This window comes from Homo sapiens, chromosome 14 (genome assembly GCF_000001405.40).
Source record: "Homo sapiens chromosome 14, GRCh38.p14 Primary Assembly".
In the NCBI taxonomy this organism is placed as follows: domain Eukaryota; kingdom Metazoa; phylum Chordata; class Mammalia; order Primates; family Hominidae; genus Homo; species Homo sapiens.
The window spans coordinates 92646593-92673308 of NC_000014.9; the positions used below are offsets into that span (position 1 = coordinate 92646593).

The 26716-nt window shown below is 52.4% G+C and overlaps 1 protein-coding gene and 1 long non-coding RNA gene across 3 annotated transcripts in view, besides 8 other annotated features; one reads left to right on the plus strand and one right to left on the minus strand.

The window, feature by feature from the left end:
- Nucleotides 1-26716, plus strand: part of RIN3 (Ras and Rab interactor 3) — a 175214-nt gene that overhangs the window by 132812 nt on the left and 15686 nt on the right. For both annotated transcript variants that reach the window (NM_024832.5, NM_001319987.2), the window contains 2 exons: nt 4990-6483; nt 12569-12877. In NM_024832.5, the coding sequence (NP_079108.3) occupies nt 4990-6483; nt 12569-12877 (1803 nt within the window). The remainder of the gene's footprint in view (nt 1-4989; nt 6484-12568; nt 12878-26716) is intronic.
- Nucleotides 204-253: a silencer, noted in NCBI's record as "silent region_6037". NCBI's record gives its function as "represses an Ori minimal core promoter by ATAC-STARR-seq in GM12878 lymphoblastoid cells {active_cell/tissue: GM12878}" and the evidence as "EXISTENCE:reporter gene assay evidence [ECO:0000049][PMID:35858748]".
- Nucleotides 4153-4212: an enhancer, noted in NCBI's record as "active region_8939". NCBI's record gives its function as "activates an Ori minimal core promoter by ATAC-STARR-seq in GM12878 lymphoblastoid cells {active_cell/tissue: GM12878}" and the evidence as "EXISTENCE:reporter gene assay evidence [ECO:0000049][PMID:35858748]".
- Nucleotides 4333-4722: an enhancer, noted in NCBI's record as "active region_8940". NCBI's record gives its function as "activates an Ori minimal core promoter by ATAC-STARR-seq in GM12878 lymphoblastoid cells {active_cell/tissue: GM12878}" and the evidence as "EXISTENCE:reporter gene assay evidence [ECO:0000049][PMID:35858748]".
- Nucleotides 6323-6422: an enhancer, noted in NCBI's record as "active region_8941". NCBI's record gives its function as "activates an Ori minimal core promoter by ATAC-STARR-seq in GM12878 lymphoblastoid cells {active_cell/tissue: GM12878}" and the evidence as "EXISTENCE:reporter gene assay evidence [ECO:0000049][PMID:35858748]".
- Nucleotides 6633-6822: an enhancer, noted in NCBI's record as "active region_8942". NCBI's record gives its function as "activates an Ori minimal core promoter by ATAC-STARR-seq in GM12878 lymphoblastoid cells {active_cell/tissue: GM12878}" and the evidence as "EXISTENCE:reporter gene assay evidence [ECO:0000049][PMID:35858748]".
- Nucleotides 9432-9933: an enhancer, noted in NCBI's record as "H3K4me1 hESC enhancer chr14:93122369-93122870 (GRCh37/hg19 assembly coordinates)". NCBI's record gives its function as "activates a minimal SCP1, AML or CMV promoter by ChIP-STARR-seq in naive H9 embryonic stem cells {active_cell/tissue: H9 hESC(naive)}" and the evidence as "EXISTENCE:reporter gene assay evidence [ECO:0000049][PMID:30033119]".
- Nucleotides 15212-15713: an enhancer, noted in NCBI's record as "H3K4me1 hESC enhancer chr14:93128149-93128650 (GRCh37/hg19 assembly coordinates)". NCBI's record gives its function as "activates a minimal SCP1, AML or CMV promoter by ChIP-STARR-seq in naive H9 embryonic stem cells {active_cell/tissue: H9 hESC(naive)}" and the evidence as "EXISTENCE:reporter gene assay evidence [ECO:0000049][PMID:30033119]".
- Nucleotides 18875-19052: a silencer, noted in NCBI's record as "fragment chr14:93131812-93131989 (GRCh37/hg19 assembly coordinates)". NCBI's record gives its function as "represses an EF-1alpha promoter that drives an FKBP-Casp9 reporter gene in an ReSE screen in HepG2 liver carcinoma cells {active_cell/tissue: HepG2}" and the evidence as "EXISTENCE:reporter gene assay evidence [ECO:0000049][PMID:32094911]".
- On the minus strand, nt 22519-26515 carry LOC124903364 (uncharacterized). Its single transcript, XR_007064309.1, has 2 exons — nt 26339-26515; nt 22519-25311 (listed from the first exon to the last, which is right to left on the minus strand). It is a non-coding gene; the product is annotated as an uncharacterized LOC124903364 (long non-coding RNA).

Sequence of the window (26716 nt, forward strand, 5' to 3'; positions counted from 1 at the left end):
CCACGCCTGACTAATTTTTGTATTTTTAGTAGAGATGGAGTTTCACCATGTTGACCAGGCTGGTCTTGAACTCCTGACCTCAGGTGATCCGGCCCGCCTCGGCCTCCCAAAGTGCTGGGATTACAGGCGTGAGCCACAGCTCCCGGCCATGTGTGTTTGTTTTTAACTGACAAGACCAGAAAAGGCTGAGGATGAAAACCACATATAATCTCACCCCTGCTGCAAGTTCAGGGTGTGTTTCCTTCCAGTTTCTTTTCCTTAATACACCTAGACGCAACTGAAAATACAGTTTTGGTTTCTTGCCTTCTGATTTTGTGCGAATATATTTGTGACTTTCAGTTTTTTCCCTAGAGCCCAGAGCCAAGGAATGTCTAGTTAAGGCTAAAGATTTACTGGGTTTCCAGTCCGCTGGATGATCTTGTAGTTACAGGAAGTTCATGAGGCATATATGTTTCTTATCATTAGTGTCATCAGTTTTATTTGTTTGGCATGCCACTCATTTTCCTATGAGAAGAATGCAACAAATGTCCAAAGAGTTGCACCAGGCCTGCTTTTGAGATAGGGATGATGTTGCTGAAACTCAGCTATTGACTTGCAGGCTGAGTGCCATGTGATGGCTCACAGTGTGCCTTCATGAGCCGACGTAAGAAAGTCCAAATTCGGACTTGGAAAAGCCAGCGTTCGAAAGTGCAGGCTATATAAGGTGTAATCTTGGACTTTAAGAGCTTACCAGTTAGTCAAGGCCAGAAAACTAACATAAGGAGGAGCAATTCAGCCCTCAACTATATTCAGCAGTTGATTACAAGCGTCCAAGGAATTTAGAGAATAGGGATTACTCGCAGTGGTTTTCAAACATGTTACAGTGTGTATGTGTTTAATACTTCAAAAATATGTTTAGGAAAGGCATCTGTTCTGTGGCTCTTCCAAGTTTGCTTGTAACTTGCTTTTTCCTTTACATCAGATGATGAGCATTTTCCTAGTTATTAATAATTCATTGAAAACTTGACTTTGACTGACTGTGTAACAGCCTCTGTCTTTGGGATGCCACATGAATATTTATTCACTGGCCTTGTTGGATTTTTTAGTGTTTCCGTGGCATCTGGAACACTTTGCCTTTACTCATCCCCTTCCTGTCCTGCCACCAGCCCCAAGCTCCCCAGGGGTAGAGTCTGAGTTTGCCCTCAGGACCTACAGCCCAGCCTGTGATGTGGCCCAGGTTCTCTGAGGGTAGAAAGAGTGGGCATCTGGCAAGAGGTGTCCCCAGCCAACGCTCAACAGGCCTTGGGGCCAGCAAAATCGTGGCCTCAGTCTGAGGCCAGGGCAAGGATGGGCCCTTCTTTAGGGGAACTCTCGCAGCAGAGCCAAGGCTCAGTATGGTGCCTTTGGGGACTGGACCCCACAGCTTTGCCAACCAAACCACTAGGATTGCATGACACAGGGTTCTGTTTCTCCCCTGGCCTTGGCGTTCTCAGGCTGCAGAGAAAGTTACTCATTTCCCTTTTTTTTTTTTTTTTGGAGCATAAAGCCCTGCAATGCCACTGTGGTTCCCTAACAGGTCCCAAGACCCCAGGATGCAGCCCATTAGCTCCTGGCTTCCCCCACTCCTTGGAGTCACATTGGCTTTGAGAACTTTGCCCTGCCAGGGTTTGCCAGGGTGCAAACCCCAGGCCTGTCTTGGGGCAGGGAAGCTGTGTCCCAGGTACCCAGGCCGAGAGCCTATTTGCCTGAACCCGTGTCTGCTCTGTTCCTGCCAAAATCCACACCTGAGCAATGGGAAATGTTGTCTTCTGTTCTGTGCCTAATGGAGCCATCCTGTCCCGTGGCAGGCTGCCCGGCTGGTGGCCCATCCGTTTACGGGGCTCCTGTGCCCTCCTTCCTGCCTCCTCTCACTGTCTTGTATTTACACATCCTCCCATGGTTCAGGTTGTCCCCATCTTGCCCTTGAAACTAACCTTGCCTGTGTCCCCTTCCTCAGAGGCCTGACTCTCCACTCCGGCTAAGCTAATCCACTCATGGGTGCCAAGGGGCTGACACTGGGCCCCTGCTCTGGGCCAAGCACTGTCTCAGGTGCTGGGAATACTCAGACAGCTGAAAGATTTGACTGCCTTCTGGAAACTCTGAGTCTGGTGGGAAAGTCAGGCAAAAAACAGAGAATTACAGTCCCAGTGATGGTCACTGCTGTCACAGGCATATCAGAGCTGCAGGAACACAGGCGGGGTGGGCAAGGCCTGAGCACATCAGGGAGGCGCTACCAGACAGGTCGCATTTGACCTGAGCCCTGAAGGATGAGTAAGCATTTGCCAGGTGGAGAGGGTGGGAAAAGGATTCCACACTGAGGGAATAGCATTAGCCAAGACCTGCTGGTGGGGCAGCGCATGGCACGTGGAGGAAGGAGTGAACGGCAGATAGAGTGGAGTGAAGACTCGGTAGATGATGCCAGAGAAGATGTGCAGGGGCCAGTTCCTGCAGACTGGAATGCCAGGCTAAAGGGTTGAAAGCGATTCTCTACAGAGAACCACCAAGGGCCTGCCGTATGCCCAGCCGAGGACCCCAGGAGGAGAATGGAGTAGAGGGGGCGGCTACAGCCGTGATCTGGGTGAGCAGTCATGGGGTGTCCCGGCACCAGTGGGCAGTTCTATATGTTATCTACCCCCATGACACCACCTTCACCCACAGGAAGAGTCTGGAGGTGGGCACCGGGGGTCTCAGCTCACATGTGGGGCTGCTGCCCAGTTACCCTGGGATCAGTCTGGCTGCCTGCTTCTCCTTGCTAGGAAAACTCCCAAGGAGGCAACTTTGTTGGGCCTGTGTAGACATGGGCACAGTGCTTCAAACACTCACTCCAGGGGCCTGTGTAGACATGGGCACAGTGCTTCAAACACTCACTCCAGGGTCCTGTGTAGACATGGGCACAGTGCTTCACTCACTCACTCCAGGGGCCTGTGTAGACATGGGCACAGTGCTTCAAACACTCACTGCAGGGGCCAGAACATGTATGTACTCGAGGCAAGGTGCCTGGGAGAGTGAGGCATACATGGAGGAGCCATGCGCTGCCCAAGAAAGCAAAGGGCCCTGGCAGTCACAAAGAGCAGCTCGTCCAGGCCCTGGGAGAGGCCGCTCTGGATACCATGTCCTCGGTGACTGTGATGGGCACAGAGCTTTGCACATTGGAAAGAGTCACAGGAAAGGTTGTCATGCTTGTTAGTGTGATGAGACCTGGTCTCTCTCCACTGGCTGTGATATTCAGGCAGCCAGACACAGGGTATCTGCCCAGGACAGGGCTGGGGGGTGCACCTCAGAGGGGTGCACACAGCTGGTGGGTCGCAGTTCACTTCCGGTCTGTTTCTTCAGTCCCTTTGTCCTGGAAAGGCACCTGCTTACCCTGATTGCGTTGGTGACCCCAGCCAGCAAGATGGCAAATGCCTACATCCCTGATAGTGCCCACCTCTTAGAGCGAGCACACGCTTGGCTGCTCCAGGCCATCTTGTGAGGTCTCCTTTCAACATCAAGAGCCTGTTGTGTTGTTGCCACATCCTGAGTTCTGGGCTGCAAGCCACCCTGCTACTCACCGATGCCGGGAGAGCAACCAAAATATGGGAAGTGTCGCAAGTTCCTATGAAGGAAGGCCGCCTAACACGGAGGCTAAACACACAGGCTGTAGAACCAGCCCGACCTGGTCAAATCCCAGCGTCTCACTCCCCAATCCGGTGACACAGGGCGAGTGCTTTCATGTTTCTGAGCCTCTTACCCTCATCTGTGAACTGGGGGCAAGGCCTATGATCAGGGGTCGGCAAGATAACCCAGGTAAAGCAAGGAGCCCGTGGGCTCACGCGCAGCAAGAACGCCATGGATGTTTGCTCCTCTGATTATCCTTGATGTTATTTTCCATAGTTTTCTTAAGGGTGAATTCCTCCCAGGAGTGAAGAGCCCTGGGTGAAAGGCTGGCTGCACCAATTCACAAGGAACTCTGCATCTGCCTGGGTCATCCTCTGTCCAGCTCCAAACCTAGCAGGCTGAACAAGACCTGGGACCCTTGTTTCTCTCCAGGAGGAAGCTTGAGTGAACGCAGGGTGGCCTATGCACTGACTGCAATTGTTCCCAAGATGTAGCATCCCTGTGTGCTCTTTGGAGGGTCCTGAGCCTCCGTCAGATGCTTGGCAGAGTGTGGTCCCCACAGATCAAGATTGCCTGTCCCTAGCCTGCTTTGGTGGCCACAGCCATGACTGAGCCCCTGGGGACTGGGTCGGTAGAGAGGCACGCACTGGAACTCAGCTCCACGGTGCAGGAGCCTTGGCTTCCCCTGACTGGGGCAGACGACCAGCTTCTTATTTTAAGCTCGAGGTTGACTGGAGTCAGAATCACTTTGTGGTGGGTGGCTGCTCCCCGCTTGGACAGCCGGGTCTGATCTCGCTGGCCACAATCCATAGGTTCGTCCTTCCCACATATAATAACCATGGAGGCCAAAACAGGCCCAATGTTCCTTCCTCCTCGTGTGCCTGTGATGTGTGTACTGTTGTGACCCCATTTTAGGGATGACTAGACTGAGGCCTAGGAAGGTCAAACCACCTGCCCCAGAGCACCCAGCTGGTTGGCCGCAGGAATTCCAGGCCTTCCGTCCCCTGTGCTCTCACCATGCCTTCCCCACGGCTCCAGAGCACAGTGTTGTCACCCCCCACCCTGTGTCATCAATGCCCTCCAATGTGGGCTCTCACACCAAGGAAGAGAACTGAAGCTGAGCTTATCACATCACCCCCGGCCTCACCCTACACTGCTGGGGAGGACTGAGTGGGGCTTCCCCTCTCGAGGCAGGAAGTGGTGGGAGAGGTTTGAAAGCGTCCAAGAGGGGAAAACAACCTCAACCTCGGAGTAGTGAAGCAAATGCCTTGAACAGCCCTCCCACCCGTGGACCCCGCCCACAGACCCCGCCCAGCACAGCAACACCTAGTCCCTGGCACAGACTGACCCCCTGCCCCTCTCTTGCTTCCACAGGTTTCTGGGACTCCTCGCTGAATCCTCCACAAGAAAGAGGGAAGCCAGCAGAGCCCCCAAGAGACCGGGCCCCCGGATTCCCCCTAGTCTCCAGCCTCAGGCCCACAGCCCATGACGCAAACTGTGCCTGTGAAATCGAGCTGTCGGTAGGAAATGACCGCCTGTGGTTTGTGAATCCTATTTTCATCGAGGACTGCAGCAGCGCCCTGCCCACCGACCAGCCACCTCTTGGAAATTGCCCTGCACGCCCTTTGCCGCCCACCTCTGATGCCACCTCACCCACCTCCAGGTGGGCCCCACGCCGCCCACCACCCCCTCCCCCAGTGCTGCCCCTGCAGCCCTGCAGCCCAGCCCAGCCCCCTGTGCTCCCTGCTCTTGCCCCCGCCCCTGCCTGTCCTTTGCCCACCTCTCCCCCAGTGCCTGCCCCCCACGTCACACCCCATGCCCCAGGTCCCCCAGACCATCCGAACCAGCCGCCCATGATGACCTGCGAGAGACTCCCATGCCCCACTGCAGGCCTGGGCCCCCTCAGGGAGGAAGCGATGAAGCCAGGGGCAGCCTCCAGTCCCTTGCAGCAGGTCCCCGCCCCGCCACTGCCTGCGAAGAAGAACCTTCCCACTGCCCCTCCCAGACGCCGCGTTTCCGAGAGGGTGTCCTTAGAAGACCAAAGTCCGGGGATGGCGGCAGAGGGGGACCAGCTCAGCCTGCCTCCCCAAGGGACCTCAGACGGCCCTGAGGACACGCCCCGGGAGAGCACGGAGCAAGGCCAGGACACAGAGGTGAAAGCCAGCGATCCTCACAGCATGCCAGAGCTGCCCAGGACAGCCAAACAACCCCCAGTCCCGCCCCCCAGGAAAAAACGGATCTCTCGACAACTGGCCTCGACCCTCCCAGCTCCCTTAGAGAACGCTGAGCTCTGCACACAGGCGATGGCCTTGGAGACACCCACGCCGGGTCCACCCAGAGAGGGCCAAAGCCCTGCTTCTCAGGCTGGGACTCAGCACCCTCCTGCCCAGGCCACTGCCCATTCCCAGAGCTCTCCAGAGTTCAAGGGCTCCCTGGCCTCCCTCTCAGACAGCTTGGGGGTGTCTGTCATGGCCACCGACCAGGACTCCTACTCCACCAGCAGCACGGAGGAGGAGCTGGAGCAGTTCAGCAGCCCCAGCGTGAAGAAGAAGCCCTCCATGATCCTGGGCAAGGCTCGGCACCGGCTGAGCTTTGCCAGTTTCAGCAGCATGTTCCACGCTTTCCTCTCCAACAACCGCAAGCTGTACAAGAAGGTGGTGGAGCTGGCGCAGGACAAGGGCTCGTACTTTGGCAGCCTGGTGCAGGACTACAAGGTGTACAGCCTGGAGATGATGGCGCGCCAGACCTCCAGCACGGAGATGCTGCAGGAGATTCGCACCATGATGACCCAGCTCAAGAGCTACCTGCTGCAGAGCACCGAGCTCAAGGCCCTGGTGGACCCCGCCCTGCACTCCGAGGAGGAGCTCGGTCAGTGCCCTGGGAGGAGGTGGCAGGGAGGAGAGGGCGGTGGGGCTCACAGACTCAGGAACCCCTTAGGACAAAAGAGGCCTATGCAGTGGACGCTGTTGGTGCCCACCCCCTATCCCTTCCTGGGCACCAGGAACTTTCTCTGGCTGCTGCAAGGTAGGCTGCTAATGGTGCCCGGCTCCCCCCCTTCCCTAGAGAATTGACCTTGACTGTATAGGATCTGTATTATCTGCACCCTCTCTTCCACCATCAGGGGCCCACTGCCAATTACTCCCTGCCATGGGGGACAAAGACTGGCCCCTTCGCCTCAAGCAGGACCACTGTGTGGTGCAGTTTATGCTCCAGGGCCCGGCGAGATCTGGCTGAGGCTGAGTTCATCCTTGCTCAAGCTCGCTCTGCGGCTTCCCACTGCGCTCACTCTCTGTCTTCTGAGAGTCTCCGCAGTGAAATCATATGCACCCAGATCCCTCTTTCACGCTCTGCTTTCAGGGAACCAGCCCCAAACAGCTCACTCCTCTGACCACCCCTTCTAAAGTAGCCCCTAGCCTTCCCCACCCTCACCAGCCTCGAATCCAATAATTATCAAAGCTTTTCCGATTGTGGTTCACGGTGAAAAGTACTTGTGAACAACCACACGCCTACGTATATTAAAAATATTCAGGCCAGGCGCACTGGCTCAAGCCTATAATCCCAGCACTCTGGGAGGCCAAGGCAGGAGGATCGCTTGAGCCCAGGAGTTCAAGACCAGCCTGGGCAACATGGCAAAACCCCGTCTCTACAAAAAATACAAAAATTAGCCAGGCATGGAGGCACGCACCTGTAGTCTCATCTATTTGGGAGGCTGAGGCAGGAGGATTGCTTGAGCCCTGAAGGCCAAGGCTGCAAAGAACCAACATCCTGCCACTGTACTCCAGTCTGGGTGACAGAGCGAAACCCTGTCTCAAAAAGAAAAAAATAGCTGGGCGTGGTGGCTCATGCCTGTAATCTCAGCACTTTGGGAGGCTGAGGTGGGGGGATCACTTGAGGTCAAGAGTTCGAGACCAGCCTGGCCAACATGGTGAAACCCCATCTCTACTAAAAATACAAAAATTAGCCAGGTGTGGTGGCGCATGCCTATAATCCCAGCTACTCGGGAGGCTGAGGCAGAAGAATTGCTTGAACCTGGGAGGCAGAGGTTGCAGTGAGCCGAGATTGTGCCACTGCACTCCAGCCTGGGCGACAAGAGCAAAACTCTGTCTAAAAAAAAAAAAAGAAAAGAAAAGAAAAAAAATACATTCTGTCAGTTCGCACTGCCGTAGCCAAAAAGTGGTTGCTAAACATTGAGCTGCTTCTGAGCTAGTTTGTAAATAGTTACTGCCCCAGCCGTCCCCTGGCGTCCCTAAGCCTCTCCTTCCCCACCCAATAATGAAAGAGTCAGTGCTGGGTACGGTAAAGGACACGTGGGCCTCTGAACACAGTAGCTTCGTAGCGAATGTTTCTTAGAAAAGGAGCTTCAGGTGTTCCTTTCCCAGGGCTACTGGATTTTGCTAGCAGACTCCTGAAAACGAATAGGTTTGCCAGGCCACAGGATTCATGATGGCGTTTCAGGTGTGGTGAGGGGTGATGGGATTGAGATCTGAGGCCAGTGCTGTGTGTGCGTCTGCACAGGGCCCTGTAAGCAGAGAGTCGACAAAGAGTTATTGGGCACCCAACTCCGCATCAGGTGCTGGCTCAGATATAGAGACAGAGGTGAGCAAAGCACTCAAAAGTTTCTGCCTGCGGGGAGCTTACGGTCTATCAGAGGTGACAGGCAATCAGCAAGAAGGATGAGTAGGGCCGGGTGCAGTGGCTCATGCCTGTAATCCCAGCACGTTGGGGGGCAGGTGGATCACCTAAGGTCAGGAGTTTGAGACCAGCCTGGCCAACATGGTGAAACCCCATCTCTACTAAAAATACAAAAATTAGCCAGGTGTGGTGGCGCGCACCTGTAATCCCAGCTACTCGGGAGGCTGAGGCAGGAGAATTGCTTGAACCAGGGAGGCAGAGGTTGCAGTGAGCCCAGATTGTGCCACTGCACTCCAGCCTGGGCAACAGAGTGAGACTTTGTCTCAAAAAAATAAAAGTTAAAAAAAAAAATAGAAAAATTAACTGGGCATGGTGGCATGTGCCTGTAGTCCCAGTTACTCAGGTGGCTGAGGCACAAGAATTGCTTGAATCCAGGAGGCGGAGATTGCAGTGAGCCGAGATTGTGCCACTGCACTCCAGCCTGGGCAACAGAGCGAGACTCTGTCTCAAGAAGGAAAGAGACAGAGAGACAGAGAGACAAAGGGAGAGAGAGAGAGAGTAAAGTATAGTGTAAGGAGACACATTAGTGAGTGCATGTGGATGGAAGTGAGGTCAGGAGGCTGTTGGGGGGCAGGACCCCAAGGACCTTGTGAGCCTCTCTATCAACCTGACTTTTCCTGTATGTGAGATGGGGTCGTGCAGGGTTCACGTCCAAGGGTGAGTGACCTCACTCACATGTGAACAACGTCACTCTGGCCGTCACACCTAGTGGGAGCAGAGAGACTCAGACTCAGTGTGAGGCTACTGTCAGAGCCAAGGTGAGCAGTGAAGGTGGCTGAGACCAGGACGGAGGCAGCACAGATGGGGAGACATGATTGGATTCTGCCTGTTGTGAAGCTGGAGCCACAGGACTGGCTGGAGGCCAGATGCAGGAGTGGTAGAGGGGAGGTAGGATGTGGACGAGCATTGGCGTCCCTGGGAGGACACAGCGTCCATCCTGGGGCAGGCACTGGGGAGGAGTTGAGGAGTTCAGTTTGGGACATGACACTGGAGATGCTTATTAGATACCAGGTGGGGAGGTCGAGCGGGCCATGGAGGGCTGAGTCTGCAGTTCTGGGGCTAAAGAGAGATGTCTGGGAACTGTCAGCACAAAAGGAGCCATGAGACTGGATGAGATCATCCGGGTCTGAGGACTGAGCCACAGGCACCGTGCAGACCAGGAGGACACAGAAGGGCATGGGAGGACGTGGAAGGACATGGAAAACTCCAAGTGGCCCAGAGGAAACTGTGGTCAGCCCTGCCTTCCAGAGTTGGGGGAGTGTAAGAGCTGAGGCCCAAAGGAGGAGTCAGGGATGCTAAGCCGTGGAAAGGGTAGTGGAAGGACTTTCCTTCCGGAAAGGGATGACAGCGTGGACAAAGGCCGAGAGGTGGGGAACGAGGCTGGAGGATCACGGGCCATTCACACAGGCAGTGAAAGTCAGCCTGAGGATTTAGCCCAGAGGTGATGGAGCCCCTGAAGGGTGTGTGTGGAGGGCAGAGGAGAGGGGACAAGACAGGGGGACGGCTCAGGAGGCTGCGGCGGGGCAAGGCCAGTACCCGGTGGCCTTCAGCAGAGCAAAGGAGGTGGAGCACAAGCTGGACCTCTGCTGGAAACAGCAGGAATGACTTCAGCCTTGGGGCAGCTGGCTGGCAGGATGCAGACACACCATGGGTCCTGTTAAGGCCAAATCTGCTTCGGGCACCAAGATGTCAAGAGGTGCTAGACTTGGAGTTTGTCCTGGCAGGTGATATGGCAAAGTGTCACCAGAGCCTGCCGTGGGCACGAATGTGTGGGGCAGAGAGGTTTCCAGGCAGTGAGAGGTGGCAGCTGAGCTGAGCCACCAAGGATGGGAAGGGCTGGAGCTACAGAGATGGAGAGAAGGGCCCTTCAGCCTTTGGGAACAGGGTCAGCATCCACAGCAATGGTGCCATTCCAGACACTGCATGTGTCAGCCTCATGACTACAAACCAGACCAGATGGGCTTGGCTATTGTCATGCCCAAGAAGCCACAGCTCAGAGAGGTTTGGTGACCTGGCCATGAGGACAGAGCTGGTAGTAGAGCTGGGCTTCAGACCCAGGCAGCCCAGCCCTTTCCATGAGCTGAGTCTCTGCCTCTGCCTCTCCCTTCCAAGCTCTGCCCATGTGTGTGGCCAGTCAGATGGTGAAGGAACTTAAACCACATAAAAAGGCCAGACAGGGCGGGGTGTGGTGGCTCACACCTGTAATCCCAGCACTTTGGGAGGCCGAGGAGGGCAGATCACTTGAGATCAGGAGTTCAAGACCAGCCTGGCCAACATGGTGAAACCCCCCTCTCTACAAACAATGCAAAAATTAGCCAGGCATGGTGGTGGGTACCTGTAATCCCAGCTACTCAGGAGGCTGAGGCAGGAGAATTGCTTGAAACCCGGGAAGTGGAGGTTGCAGTGAGCCAAGATCACACTACTGCACTCCAGCCTGGGCAACAGAACAAGATTCTGTCTCAAAAAACAAAAAAGAAAAAAAAAAGGCCAACAGAACTCCATGCTTAGGGTGCTTCTGGTTTGATTAGGGAGACAAGTCACAAGGAGCAACTGGATACAAAACAGTCCTGACGTGAGGCTGCTGAGGGCCCCAGACCAGAGAGGAGGTGCCAGGAAGAGATCCTGCGGCTCTTAGATGTGAAGGGGCCGGGAGGGCGTGGGCACAGCCCTCTCATTTTGCAGTTCAGGAAACAGGCCCTGGGAGGGGAAGAGACATGGCCGAGGTCATGCAGAAGCCCAGGACAGTGGGGAAGTTCAAGTCCCTGCTCCCAGGTCAACCCCCATCTGCGCCCATCTCTGCCTGCGGAGGCTCCAGTGAGGTCGGGAGGTGGGCGTGGAAGGAGGGTCAGGAACGGGGTGAGGGAAGTGAGGGCAGCCCTGTGTTCTGCTGAAGGGGAAGAGGGAGGCAGCAGCAAGGGACCCAGGATGGCCATGGGCCAGCTCCAGGCCTGAGTGGCAGGGAAGGGCTGTCCGGGCCTCTGTTGAGACCCAGCCCCGTGGGAGCATGAGTCCCTCCCTCCTCTCTCAGGGCTAGGGCAGCACAGGTGTCTCCTTACAGGAACAGGGCTTGGGACCTCCCCTTACTCAGCCCGTAACCAAGACCCATCCCCTGGAGACAGAGGAGGGCCAAAACAACTTCCTAAGAATATGTTTCTACAGTCACCCAAAGCAACTGGACATCCCCTTGGTATCAAGTAGACATGAGTTCAAGTCCTTGTTCAACCCCCAACCCACTCCATGAGAGCCTAAGCTGGTCCATCCTCAGAGTGGGCATCAGAGCACATATGCCTCAGAGCAGTTACAAGATCAGAGCGCCAACTCCTGCTCCAAGAGCTGATCGGGAATGCCTCTCAGATAGGACGACATTCGAACAGTGAAGGAACCAGCCATGTGGACGACTGCGAGGCGACTGCACCACACAAAGGGAACCGCAGGAGCAAAGGCCCCGGGGCAGGAGCAGGCCTGGCAGTTGGCAGAGCAGCCTGAGCATGGGGAGCAAGCAAAGCAATGAGTGAGAGGTCACAGGGCCCGATCACAGCGGGGCCTCTTAGGCCATGAGGAGTCTTTGGCTTTGATTTGATTGCATGGGAGATGGGGGCCGTTGGAGGTTTCCAAACAGAAGCATGTTACGATCAAAGATGTCATAACAGGACAACACCAGCTGCTGTGTTGACAAGAGACTATAAGGGCCAGGGCAAAAGCTGACTGACATAACCTGGGCAAGAGATGATGGTGGTAGCCTGACCAACCCAGGTCAAGGTAGTAGCCACAGAAGTGATAAAAAAGTAAGGTTCTGGATGTACTGTATTTTTGAGACTAGAGTCAAGTGGGTGTGGGAATTGGAAGGGAGATATCAAGAATAATTCCACCAGTCATTTACTGGGCATTCAGGCCATCAGCATACAGCTGCCCAGGTTGTACACTGTACAACTCCAGTGTGAGTAACACCCTCTGAAGTTATGTACTCATAGGCAGCCTTGTGAAAGTTTGCTCTCTGCCAGGCCCTGTGAAAAGCATCAGGATACAATGACCAGTTAGCATTAGTTCCCAGGGGCTCCTGTGCCAGTGCCTTTCCAGTGTGGCTTTCTCTTGAATAAACTGTGCTCTCTCATGTGTCAGAACCACAGGGTATAACTGCTGGGGCTGTGAGTGTCCTTCCAGGGGCCAGGGGATGGGGATGGCTGTGCTGTTGGGCAACAGAACCAGGTGGCAGGATCCCTGCATCTGGTTTCCTCACCCTCGCTCTCTTGTTTACCTGCAGAAGCAATTGTAGAGTCTGCCTTGTACAAATGTGTCCTGAAGCCCCTGAAGGAAGCCATCAACTCATGCCTGCATCAGATCCACAGCAAGGATGGTTCGCTGCAGCAGCTCAAGGAGAACCAGTTAGTGATCCTGGCCACCACCACCACTGACCTAGGTGTGACCACCAGCGTGCCGGAGGTGCCCATGATGGAGAAGATCCTGCAGAAGTTCACCAGCATGCACAAGGCCTACTCACCTGAGAAGAAGATCTCCATCCTGCTCAAGACCTGCAAACTCATCTACGACTCCATGGCCCTCGGCAACCCAGGTCAGTGGGCAGCCGGGAGGGGTCTGGGTGAGGAGCTCTCTTTGTATGGGTCCATGACCCCACCCTGACCAGGACTCCAGAGCCCTTGGAAGGCCCCAGACTTTCCAGATTCAGAGCCCCCTTGGGGAGGAACTGAGTGTGGGTGGGGTGTAATTCCTGGGCCCTCTTGGAGTTACCTGGGGACTGGGAGGAGAGCCATGATCGGCTGTTGCCCTGGAGGCAAGCAAGGAAGCCAGCCCACACCTTAACTTTGTGTGAATGAGGAAAAGCACTGTGTTAGTTTGCTAGGGCTGCTGAAACGATACCACAAGCTGAGTGGCTTAGCCAGCAGAAACATATTGTCTCACAGTTTTGGAGGCTGGAAGGTTCAAGATGAAGGTGTGGGCATGGCTGTGCTCCCTCTAAAGACACCAGGGAAGGTTCTGTTCCTTCCGAGCTTCTGGTAGCTCCTTGGCTTGTGGCCACAGAACTCTGATCTTCACATGGTGTGCTTCCTGTGTGCATGTCTGTGTCCCAATTTCCTCTTTTTGTAAGAACGCCAGTCAGACTGGATTAGGGGCCCACCCCACTCCAGTGTGACTTCATCTCAGCTAATCACAACTGCAACAACCCTATTTCCAAATAAGGTTAAGGGTTAAGACTTCAACATACAAATTTTGAGGGGACAAAATTCAACCCCTAACAGGTGCCTTAAACAATTAGCATTGATTTGACGTGTAAGTCCATGGGGCATGGACAAGTATCTGATCTGGATCAGGCGTGCCTGAGCTTGCGTGGGCTTATTCATGGATCTGTGGTCAGAGGTGGGCCAGTTGGAGGCCAGATAGTCTGGGATGGCGTTGCTCACATGCTGGGTGGGTGGTTGGCTGTTGGCTGCTCTGGGACGGCCTTGCCCACATGCTGGGTGGTTGGTTGGCTGTTGGCTGCTCTGGGATGGCCTTGCCCACTTGCTGAGTGGTTGGTTGGCTGTTGGCTGGTCTAGGATGGCCTTGCTCACGTGCTGAGTGGTTGATGAGCCGTTGGCTGGTCTGGGATGGGGATGACTGAGCCACGAGTTTCTCATCCTCCAGCAGGTTAGCACAGGCATGTGTCCATGGCAGTAGCTGGGGCCCAAGAGAAGAAGCAAAGCCTGCAAGGCCCATCGAGGCCTGGCCCTGAACTGGCATGATGTCACTCTGATGCCTTTCATTGACTTGTTTAGGCACAAGAGACCATCCCAGACTCAAGGAGTGAGGAACATTTCCCCTCTTGATGGAAAGAGTACAAAGGCACATTGTAAAGGGTGTGGATGTGGGAGGGGAATCAGTGGGACTATTTGTAATCATTTGACTGCAGTCCTCCAGGCAGACAAGAACAGGCATCACTGCACGATGGAGCACAGCTCAATGAAGAGAATGCTGGCAGGATTCATCCCTTCAGCTGGTGCCCTTGTGCAGTGAGCAGACTGTGTACCTGGACACGGCTGCCATGGCAACAGAGAGTGGATGGATAGCCACCTCTGTAGACTCACAGACGTGGGTTCGAACTCCTGGTCTGTCACTTACTACCTATTTAACCTTGAATGATTTACTTAACTCCTTAGAGCCCAATTTCCTCGCCTGAGGAAGCTGCTTTACAGAGAGGATAAAAGACCCTAAGACCGCTAATGGTTCAGAAGCCATACTCAGTCACTTGTGAGTATTAGAAACAATGTATGTAAAATGGTGGCCTCCATGCACAGCACCTGGCAGGCTCAACAAATGTGGCTGTGTTAAAAGAGGGATTCTCTTCATCTCCCCTGGAGAAGGGCAGGCCAGTTTGGCCATAGACCAACAGAAAGCAATTGTGGGTATGATTGGGGTATGGTGCCAGATCCCCTCACCCAAGAAACCTTTCCTCTCAGATCTGGTACAGGACACAATTCCAGGTTGGAGTCACATTTTTGTGGTAAACTGATTTGTGTCCTGCGACCATGTGTTAGAATTGTGCTCCCCAGGCCAGGTGCGGTGGCTCATGCCTGCAATCCCAGCACTTTGGGAGGCTGAGGTGGGCGGATCACGAGGTCAGGAGTTTGAGACCAGCCTGGCCAACATGGTGAAACCCCATCTCTACTAAAAATACAAAAATTAGCCGAGTGTGTTGGCGGGCGCCTGTGATCCCAGCTACTCAGGAGGCTGGAGCAGGAGAATCACTTGAACCCGGGAGGCAGACGTTGCAGTGAGCCAAGATCATGCCACAGCATTCCAGCCTGGGTGGTGACAGAGTGAGACTCTGTCACACACACACACACACACACACACACACACACACAAAAAATAGAATTGTGCTCCCCAAAAGGAGACACCACGCCAAGGCGAACTCCATATTAACACTTTATCCTGATGTTGGAGATATGATGGGAAGAGAGAGGGTTGTAGTAGAAGCAGGATGTAGTGAAGGGTTTGTTTTCACAGAGTGGACATTAGGCTCGGAGGTCGGGTGTCTTGTGCAGCCTAGAACCCAGAGAACAGGCCCAGGATGTAAACTCTGCAACTGAGTAACCTCCAGGAAAAATCCCCAAAGAAGTACATGGGGGACAGCGGACAGCCTGCAGAGCCCAGAGCTCTTGGCGAGTTTGACCTGGTCAGCCCCAGAGGGCTGGGACCCAGGGAAAGAGTCGAGTATGCCCTGCCAGGCGACATGAGGCGGAGGGTTAAGACCCCCTCATGGCCTGGCAAAGGGTGTCCGAGAATGAGCGGGGCCTTCTCAAGCCTTCTCAGAGAGAGGCAGTCCTGGCTGTCTCTGCAGCAGCAGGGGTCGGGGAGGGAGGCAAGCTCAGAGGTGTCCTACAGGGAAGCAGCAGTCAGACTGGATCAAGGCAGAAAGGAGACAGAGCCCCGGGGGACCCTTTGCTGGGAACAGCCTCGGGGAGAGCAGGCAGGCTGGCCCTGGGACCCTGGGGGGGATCATGGAAGAGCAAGGTCCAGGCTTCCTTGCCGGCTCTGCCGCTTCTCGGCTTGTGGCTGTGTTCAGATGACTTAGGTGCTCAGCCTCAGTTTCCTCTTGTGTTCAATAGGCACAGCCACAACCACCTTGCAGGCCTGTCTTGAAGCTTCGAGGAGTCTGAAGTTTGCATGTGGCCCAGCAGTTGGCACTTAGTCACAATAGCTGTTGATTGGTTTCAGTGCTGAATTTCTAATTAGGGAAATCGTTTCCCCTGGGTTTGCTAGGCTTGGTGGCAAAGTCAGAGCCAAGGGTTTTACAGACGCTGAGACATGATGAGGGAGACAGCTTTGCGCTGGAAGGGGCAATTCCATTCTCAATGAGTCCCAGTTTATCCAGAAACCCCTAGCTTCCTGGAATTCTTTTTAAAACCCCATGACTGAGCAGCAACATTCAAACAGCATGATTTTTTTTTTTTTTAACACGGGGTCTCTTTCTGTCACTCAGGCTTAAGTACAGTGGCACCACCCCCCAGGCTCAGGCAATTCTCCCACCTCAGCCTCCTGAGTAGCTGGGACTACAGGTATGTGCCACCACACCCAGCTAATTTTTGTATTTTTTGTAAAGACGGGGTTTCACCATGTTGCCCAGGCTGGTCTCGAACTCCTGAGCTCAAGCAATTTGCCCGCCTTGGCCTCCCAAAGTGCTGAGATTACAGGTGTGAGCCACCACACCCAGCCTGACTTTTGTAAATTGACAGATAAAATTGTATGTATTTATTGTGTACAACATGATGCTTTCAAGTATATCTACATTGTGGAATGACTAAAGCTAGCGTCATCTCACATAGTTATCGTCCTTGTGGTGAAAGTCAAACACCGTGATTTTTGCTAACAATGAATTCGCTTCCTAAAAACTTACCAGAGAGCAGGGATTCGAGGAAGGAATGGCTCATTTTGAGTAGGGAGGAGGAGCAAGAAAGGCAGCTGCTGGAAAGGGCATGGCTGGTGCCGCATGTGGTTGAATGGAACAGAACCAGGTGCTTGCTGCTTTCTATCCTCAGCAGGCAAGAGGGAGGGAGGCCGGAATCTCTGCAGATCCAGAAGCCAGACCCAGTCGGGGAGACTCTGAGACGTGAAGGTCAGGCCAGGGTCTCCCCCAGAAACCAGTGGGTTTCTTATCAAGGAACAGAAAGAATGTTTCCCTCCCACCACTGGTTGAGCACTGGACTGGGAGCACCGTGACTCCCAATTTCATCTCTGAACCGGGCAGGCCAGGGCTGCTCCAGTCAGAGCCTCAGCATCTTCACCTGGGCGGAATTAGGTTCTGCTCAAATCGGTTTGGGATTTGTCAACCCCAAATCCAAAGAGCAGAGGATTTGGGGTTCATCCACGGTCCTGGTTTTGAATCCCAGCTTCGGTGCTATAGCCTTGGACATTAATCTCCCTGGACCTTTGTTTGTGTACAAAATGAGGGTGATACACTTGTCATGTTGCGATGCAGGGGCTGGGACAGCACATGGGACAGCCTAAGTGCTCAAGGAGTTACTTCCTGAGCCTCGGTTTTCCCACTCTTTAAATGGGGCTAGGAACGCCTCTCTCTGGGCTATTGTGAGGGTCAAAGTTTATGAATGAGCGTCTAGATGTTAGGATACAGGAACAGCTGCCTCCCAGCCACGTTCCCAACAATACAGAAGCTGAACTCAGTGGTTTTCAAGATGGATTCCCCAAGGCACCCCAGGGGCCACCAAAGGGTCAAAAGACAAGCTGGTCCCCAAGCCAGCTCCACCCCAGACAACGCTGCTTGTACCTGTTTTACACATGGGGTTCTGCATGGGATTTTGTTTCAAATAAAGAGTTCTATTTTTTTAACATTTCATTTGGAAATAATTTCAAACTTCAAAAACTCTAAGAATGGAAACAGGACACCTGCAGACCCTTTGTGAATTGTTAACATTCAACCCCCTCCGCTTCATCATTTTCTTTCTTTCTTTCTTTTTTTTTTTTTTTTTTTTTGAGATGGAGTCTCACTCTGTCGCCCAGGCTGGAGTGCAGTGGCGCGATCTCGGCTCACTGCAAACTCCGCCTCCCGGGTTCACGCCATTCTCCTGCCCCAGCCTCCCAAGTAGCTGGGACTACAGGTGGCTGCCACCATGCCCAGCTATTTTTTTTTTGTATTTTTAGTAGAAACGGGGTTTCACCGTGTTGCCCAGGATGGTCTCGATCTCCTGACCTCGTGTTCTGCCCGCCTCGGCCTCCCAAAGTGCTGGGATTACAGCAGTGAGCCACTGAGCCCGGCCATTCATCATTTTCTTTCTCTCTCTGCATACATAATGTTTTGTCTGAATAGCGTAAGGGTAACTTACATACACCTGTGTCCTTTACCCCAAACGCTTTCCTAGGTATTTTGTGGCATGTATGTATGTAACATTACATAACTCTTACATAGCCACGGTGGAGTTGTCCGTTGCATAAATTTATGTTAATACAGCATTTTTGTCTAAACTTTCAGGTTGTCACTTGACCTAATAAGGTCCTTTTTAGAATTTCCCCCTCATGTTCAGGATCTGATGAAGGGTTAGATATTCCGTGTGCTTGTCATATGTTTTTAACCTCCTTTAATTTGGAATATCTCATATCTGTGGCTGAATGATGGAAATAGAATCTGAGGAGTGCGTCATTAGACAATTTCATTGTTGTGCAAACATTTTAGAGTGTACTCACACAAACCTAGATGGCACAGCCTACTATACACCTGAGCTGTATGGTATGGTCCATTGCCCCCAGGCTACCACCCTGTACAGCATGTGACTATACTGAAAACTGTAGGCAGTTGTAGCTCAGTGGCAACTATTTGTGTATCTGAACATATCTAAATGTAGAAAAGGTGCAGTAAAAGTCTGGCATTATGATCTCATGGAACCACCGTCATATACGTGGTCCATCATTGACCAAAAGTTCATTATGCGTTGCGTGACTGTATTTCCACAGCCTTTGTCTCTTTTTTTTTTTTTTTTTTTTTTTTTTGAGACAGAGTCTCGCTCTATCGCCCAGGCTGGAGTGCAGTGGCGCAATCTCGGCTCACTGCAAGCTCCTCCTCCCGGGGTCACGTTATTCTCTTGCCTCAGCCTCCTGATTAGCTGGGACTACAGGTGCCCACCACCATGCCCGGCTAATTTTTTTTCGTATTTTTAGTAGAGATGGGGTTTCACCATGTTAGCCAGGATGGTCTTGATCTCCTGACCTCATGATCCACCCACCTCGGCCTCTCAAAGTGCTGGGATTACAAGCGTGAGCCACCGCGCCTGGACTCTTTGTCTTTAATGATATTGATGTTTCTGAAGGATACTGTTTTTTTTCCCCCAGCCCCACCTTTTCTTAATGAAAGTTCCTCATTTTGTGTTTGTCAGATGTTTCCTGATGATTAGATTGAGGTTATGCAGTCTTAGCCAGATCCCAACTGACTTCAATTCTGACTTTGACGTTCAGCAATTTTAGAACGAGGTCCCAGCATTCAATCATACCTTCCCCTGGCAGGTGATCCGGGCAGCTGTGTAGTCTATGGCCTTGCTACCCGAGGTGTGGTATGCAGCCCAGCAGCTCTTTGTTGAGCCCTGGGAGCTGTGAGTGACCCCACAGAGAGGCAGACTCCAGCCCGAGTCCCGCCTACCTCCACCACTGACCTACTTCCTCCACCACTGACTGCTTTAAACAGAAAACAGCCCTCCCTGTCCACCACTCCTGACTTCCATCCTGCCTAGCCCTGCCTCTAGTCTTCCCAGCCCCCTCACCTCCAGGGAAGATGCCTCACCCACCTGCCTCATTGCTATGATGCAGGCAACAGTAGCTTGATGTGGTACCTTCATGGCCCGCTTGAAAGGGGAATAAAATAGGGCGGGCCGCTAGCAAGACCTGTTGGAACAGCGAGGAAAGGGGTAAACATGGAGACACAAGATCTGGGTTAACTGGCCATGCTATCTTCTCCAGAAAGATAGGGCCAGGATTAAACCTAGTATCAGCTCACTCTAAAGCCTGTGCTTCTATCACGGTGCCAGTGGCCGGCCTGGGAATGGACCCCAAGCTTCAGAATCCTGGTCGAGTGTGTCTTCTCCTGTCACAAGTTTAGGGCCCTGGGTTCGGCAAATTGGGGAGTTCACGGAAGCAAATGGCTTTGGATAAACTGGCCCTCCATCCTGGAATCAGGAGCAGACCGGGATTCTTCATGGACTTCATGAGGCTTGGTGAGAGCAGCCAGAACTTCTAGATTCATCTCTTCTATTACTTTGACAAAGAAGTCATTCCCACCTCCTTGATGTCTAAGACTAGTCATTCGGAGCTGGTCCTCTGCTGGGGAGAAACAGACTCAAGCCCAAGAAACCTCTTCAAGATGGGAGGGGGAGAAAGACGGTAGGGGTGCAGTTTGGGAACCTTCTAATGTGAATGCCGAGCAGGAGGCATCCCAGAGGGTACTGATGGCCAGAGGCTGCCTTTTCAGCTCCTTGAGTAGTCTATGTAAACACCCTGATACCACCCACGTGAGCTTCTGGAAACAGGGCCTGGCTCCTAACCCCAGGGGGATGGAGCACACTAATGACCAGGTGGTGGGACGTGGGGGCCAACCGGGTGGTGATAGATTCCCAGGTCCCCTGCCATCCACTTCCCTGGCAGAGACCACAGAGTCAAGAGTCCACAGCTGGTTCAGGCAGGGGCAGCCGCAGAGGAATTGGATGGGAGGGGGGCTCTTGATGGGGACCCCAGGGGTATGGAATAATGGGCCTTGTGACATTGACGGGGTAGAGAGGACAGGGAGGGAGGTCAGGCTGTTGATTTTTTTAAATCTGTGTTTAAAAAAATTAAACTGGGCTAGGCACGGTGGCTCACGCCTGTAATCCCAGCATTTTGGGAGGCCAAGGCGGGCGGATCATGAGGTCAGGAGTTCAAGACCAAGACCAGCCTGACCAACATGGTGAAACTCCGTCTCTACCAAAAATACAAAAATTATCTGGGCATGGTGGCGCACACCTGTAATCCCAGCTACTCAGGAGGCTGAGGCAGGAGAATCGCTTGAACCCAGGAGGCGGAGGTTGCAGTGAGCCAAGATCACACCATTGCACTCCAGCCTGGGTGACAGAGCAAGACTCCGTCTCAAAAAAAAAAAAAATTAAACTGATTTTTGATGATCAAAGTCGCTCATGTTTATTGTTGCAAATTGATCAATAGTCTGTTGGTGAATTTCTTTCTAGTCTTTTTGAAATAACTACAGATAGGTAAATAGATAATTGGTTAAGGAAACATTTGCTGCTATAAACATTTGCTGCTATTTGATGCTGGATAAGCCCTCTCATCTCTAACTCAATAGAAGTGTACTTCTCACTCATGTAAGTCCAATTGCATAGAGGAGGTTTGGAGGTGGAGGGCCATGCTCCATATGGTCATTCAGGGATCCATGCATAGGAAGACTTCCTAGGTCTCCCTAGGGATTGACATCCAGGTGACAGGAATGGGGGGGCATCTGAAAGAGAGCTAAAGAGAGCTTTCCTTCTCCAAAAGGTTGTAACTCACAACCTCGCTTTTTTACCCCACAACACAAATGGAGTGCAGGCCCCCTAAGATGTCATGTTCTGAGGCTTATAGGACAAAATCCCCTCCTGTCTTTCATAATAATTGTGTCTAGCATTTACTAGTCCATGCTAATCACCTTCCATCTGTCTTGTCATGTCATCCTCACAACCACTCCAGGGGATGTGGACACTGTGATTATCCCCATTTTACAGCTGAGGAAACTAAGGCTCAGTGAAGTTAAGTAGCACGCTTAGGGTCACACCTGATGAGCAGGTGAGTGGTTGACCTGAGACTTGAACCCGGGTCCTTTGCTGAAACCCAGGGCCCTCTGGCCTCTCCAGCCTGCCTCCCCAGGGCATCCTGAGGTCAGAGATGACCTCAGAAAAGACAGACACAAGTCATGGCTGAGTTTTGCAGTGCCTCCAACCTCATGCCTTTTCAAGCCAGAGTGGGACTTCATGGCTTCAGACCTCAGAGCCCACAGCCTGTGTAGCTGACTGGCTTGTGGGCTGAGCTCTCTGAAGAGAAACCCAGGGAGCTGGAGTGTTTTCCTCAGGGACACAGTGTAGCTCAGAGCAGAACTGAGACTTAACCAGCATCTGTGCAAAGTGCAAGCAACCAAACAGGGTAGCTTCAAGGAGCTCAGTGGGAGAGAGGGGGCTGGGTTCTAATCTCATGACAGCCACAGACTTGACAAGTGACCTCCAGCCAAGCATTTCTCTGCCGAGGCTTCAGTTCTTTCATCTGTGCAGCGGACAGTTCAGACTAGATCAGTAGTTTTCAAACTATTTCCAGGAAACTCTCTAGGGGCCACAGACATAGCTGGGGGCCGCCATGGGAACAGTGGAGGGACATAGTTGAAAGGAGATGAGCAGGCCAGCTCTGCTGCCCCACCCTGAGTCAACCAGAGAAGCTGAACTGTGCATAAGGTACCCATTACTAAAGGTTTCCATTGCAAACACAGATTTGAAGTCTACTGTTCTAAATGGCCTCTACTTCCTGCTGTCATACGTTTTTATCAAATAAATTCATTCATTCAACCGTTCAACAAACTTTTTTTGACAATGCAGATGTTAAGAACAAAACCCAGAAGACCCAGCCCATGTTTTTAGGATGTTCACAATTCAAGCTAAAAACAAGCATTAAATAAGCAAGCATCTTGCAGTGTGATAACTGATATTCATTCATGCTTTTAGCAAATATTTTTATTAAACACCTACTATAGACCAGGTACCGCTGAGATGTCAGATATAAACAGTGAAGAAGATAAGGTACCTGCCCGAGTAAAACTTTCATTCAAGGAGGGGAGATAGGCAATAACAAGTAAACAGAAATGCAAAATATATCCTCCAAGGTGAAACGTGCAACTGGGGTCGATAAAGCAGGGTAGGGGGTCTGAGGAGTGTTGGAGGAGTTTGCTGTCCTGGGACTGGGTGGTCAGGGAAGGCCTCTCTGAGTTAACGTGTGATATTGACTTTCCCATTCTGCAATGCCAGGACTGGGGAGAGCCATTACAAGGGCATTGGCCTTAGCTGAGGAGGTCTTCAAGGAAGACTTCTGGGAGGAAAAAAGTGGCTCTAAATGGGAATCATGGTGGAAAGCGAGGGCCAGGGCAGGGCACAGTCATGAGCCTCCTGCTGCCCCAGTGTTGCAGCATCAGCCACTGGCTTTCAGTAAGAGCCCAGTCAACAAATGGGTGCCCTGGGTGGGGGTGAGGTGGGGGGTAGTTTTGATAAGATGCTCAGTCCTTTCCTCTCCATCAGCGTCTGCAAACTGTGGCCCTCCCAGCCAACTCTGGCCTACCACCTGATTTTGCAAATAGTTTTATTGGAACACAACCCATATCCATACTCAGCATCTAGGGCTGCTTATGTTCTAAGGGCTGAGTTGAATAGTTAGGCCAGAGACCCTGTGGCCCCTGAAACTAAAAATATTTACTTTCTGGCCTTTTACAGAAAAAAATTTGCTAGCCCCTCTTTTAGACAATGCTTCCTCACCCTGTCACTCAGGCTGGAGTGCAGTGGCACAATCATAGCTCACTGCAGCCTCAACCTCCTGAGCTCAAGCAGTCCTCCTACCTCAGCCTCCAGAGTAGCAGGGACTACAGATGCATGCCACCAGACCCAGCTGATTTTTTTTTTTTTTTAAGTAGAGACAAAGTCTCACTATGTTGCCCAGGCTGGAATTAGGGCCTTTCTAATCTTCACTGTCTGGGTGACCCAGCTGAGCACCTCTTCAGCTCATTTTGATCTTAAAGAGAGCTTTCCTTCTCCAAAATCTCCCAGTGGATGAAATATGCATAAAACCCCAGCCAGCTTTTTGAAATGTGATCAGCTACCTACAGATGGCAAACAGATGTGACTTGGCAAAAAAGAAAGCAGAAATCACCAGGAAGTGGAGGCTGCCGCCAGCAGGGCATTTGAATGCACAGCCAAATGGGCGTGATCTCTGGTCCACCCAAGACAGATGTTCAGCTCACAGGAGAAGTATTTTGCAGCTAACATCCCAGTGGCACTTCCTGAGGCTCCGATGTGCTCAGGGCTTAGCCCTGAGCCTGGGGTTCCAGGCTGCTCAGGAAGGAGAGGGCAGCCCTAACTGCCAAAATGTTGGGCTGGGACCCAGTGCGTTTAAACAATGCTTGAAGCTTGTGTTGGTCCATGAGGAGCTATCATGCCTGTGTGGATACTTTCTCACCAACGTCAACAGCCAGAGACCCAGATTCTAGTCCCAGCTCTGCTATTGACCAGCTGCAGGGCTTTGAGCAAATTTCTCCCATCTCTGAGCCTCAATTTCCTCACAGTGTGGTTGGGCGTGATAAACTAAAGCCAATGGTGTGCTGGAGTCAGCTCGCACCAGCTCGTGGGAGCTGGCTGTGGGCATCTATCTCTTCCCAGCTCTGTGTTCTTGTTGGTAGCTTGACGTTGGAAATTGTGGAAATATTTAGATCATGGAAATTGGCAAATGCTACAAATCAAGGTTGATTTTTTTCCTTCAGAGAGCCAGTTGTTAAGCATTTCCCAGCACATCACTTTCTAAGGCCCACAGGACATCCCAGTGTCTATGACCATGACCCTACCCCTGGCAGGACAGAGTGGCACCCAGTAAGAACACACATGGGACATAGTTCAGTCCATTGTCAGCAGCCTACGTCCCAAGCCTGTGCTGGGGGCTGGAAAGGCAGTGATGCGAGAGAGGCTCAGAGAGGGTTAGTGACTCACTCTGGCTCACACAGCCTCCATCCATGCCCTCAGCACACTCACGATGTGAAGAAGGGGGCAGGCTCTGAATCAGTCAAGGCATATGGGAGCCAGAGCAGGAACTGTCCAGCTGTGCTGGAGGATGTGGGAGAGCACAAGAAGTTGATAACGGGAAGGTAGGGAGGGGGTCCCAGGAGGGGGGGAACTGCGTGTGCAAAGGCCTGGAGAGGGGAGAGTGCACTCAGAGTTCAGGGAATGGGCCGTGGTGCAGCCCAGTGGGATGTTATGTGGGAGGGTGATGGAGGCAGAATGTCATCTCAAGTTGGAAGATGGAAAGTAGAGTAAGCACCAGTAACCCTGGGGCAGCCCAGGAGGGCTTCTTGGAGTTGGAGGAGGCAGATCTTGAAGGATGAGTGAAATTAGTAGGAACGTGGGATTGTCGGTCAAGATTCCTCAAGGAAAACATGGGGAGAAGAGCAGGTGAAGGACCTTCCATAGCCAGGGGATACAAAGCCACAGTCCTGGGCCCCCTCCCTTCCTGCCCCCTCATACCCACATGGCCGGCCCCGAAGTCCTCAGACCTAGGGCCCCATCTGGGCCATCCTTTGGCCAAAAGTCATTACTCCCTCAAGCAGGGTTTCTCACCCGTGGCCCTGTGGACATTTGGGGTGTCCTCTGCATCCCAGGATGTCATCAGCACCAGTGTTGCTGGCCCATTTTGCAGATGTAGAAACTGAGTGTGGCCAGAAAGGCAGGTCACAAGGGGCCGCATTGTCTAAAAAATTAAACAAGGACGGGCCATAAGCAGAATCCACATTCACTGGACAAAAGTGACTGGAGGCATCCATGGTGCCAGTGTTATACTGCAGGAGCCAGGACTTAGAGACAAGGCCGCCCAGGCTATGAGGCAAGATGGGAAATGGAGTCTTTATTTGGGGTGGCCCTATCCTGGCTAAAAGTCAGGAGTGCTGTTACTTTGAAAATAGAGACTGGGGCCGGGCGTGCGGCGGCTTACGCTTGTAAATCCAGCACTTTAGGAGGCTGAGGCGAGCGGATCACTTGAGGTCAGGAGTTTGAGACTAGCCTGTCCGACATGGCAAAATCCCATCTCTACTAAAAAAAAAAATACAAAAATTAGCCAGGCGTGGTGGCAAGCACCTATAATGCCAGCTACTCAGGAGGCTGAGACAGGAGAATCGCCTGAACCTGGGAGGTGAAGGTTGCGGTGAGCCGAGATCGTGCCACTGCACTCCAGCCTGGGCGACAAGAGCAAGACTCCTTCTACAAAAAAGAAAAAGAAAATAGAGACTGGAGAATGCAAGAGGAAGGAAAGCAACCACTAGTCTCTGTTACTCACACCAGGCTAGAACAGACTGCGCAGGCAAGGAACACAAGACCTCCTGGTCGGCTGAATGTGACCCTGAAATCACAAGCCCTGGCAGGGAGGGGAGACACTTGCCTTAGGGGCAAAATGTAGGGGGATGCCCAAGAAACTCAACCACAAAGATAAATTATATATATATGTGTGTGCATGTGTGTGTGTGTGTGTGTGTGTGTGTGTATACACATAATTTTTAAAATGATTCAGTGGTTTTCAGTATATTTGCAAGGTCATACAACTAAAACTACTCCAATTCCAAATCATTTTTATCACCCCAAAAAGAAACTCGGTACCCATTAGCAATCACTCCCCATTCTCTTTTCTGCCCAGCTCCAGGCAACCACTCATCTGCTTTCTGTTTGTGGGTTTGCTTATTCTGGACGTTGCATATAGATGGAATCCTATGTCCTATCATACGTACAATATGTGGTCTTCCATGGCTGGCTTCTTTCACTTAGCATAATATCATCACGGTCTATCAATATCACAGCAGCCAGGCATGGTGGCTCACGTCTTTAATCCAGCGCTTTGGGAGGCTGAGGCAGGTGGATCATTGAGCCTAGGACTTCGAGACCAGCCTGGGCAACACGGCAAAACCCTGTCTCTACCAAAAATACAAAAAGGAAAAAAAAAATAGCCAGTCTCATAACCCGGTCTCAAAAAAATGAACAAATATCAATATCACAGCATGTATGAGTAGCTTGTTCCTTTTTATTCCCAAAGACTTTTCCATGGTGTGCATGCACCACATTTTGCCTGTGTATCCACAAGTGATGGACAAGTGGAGCCATCTCCACTT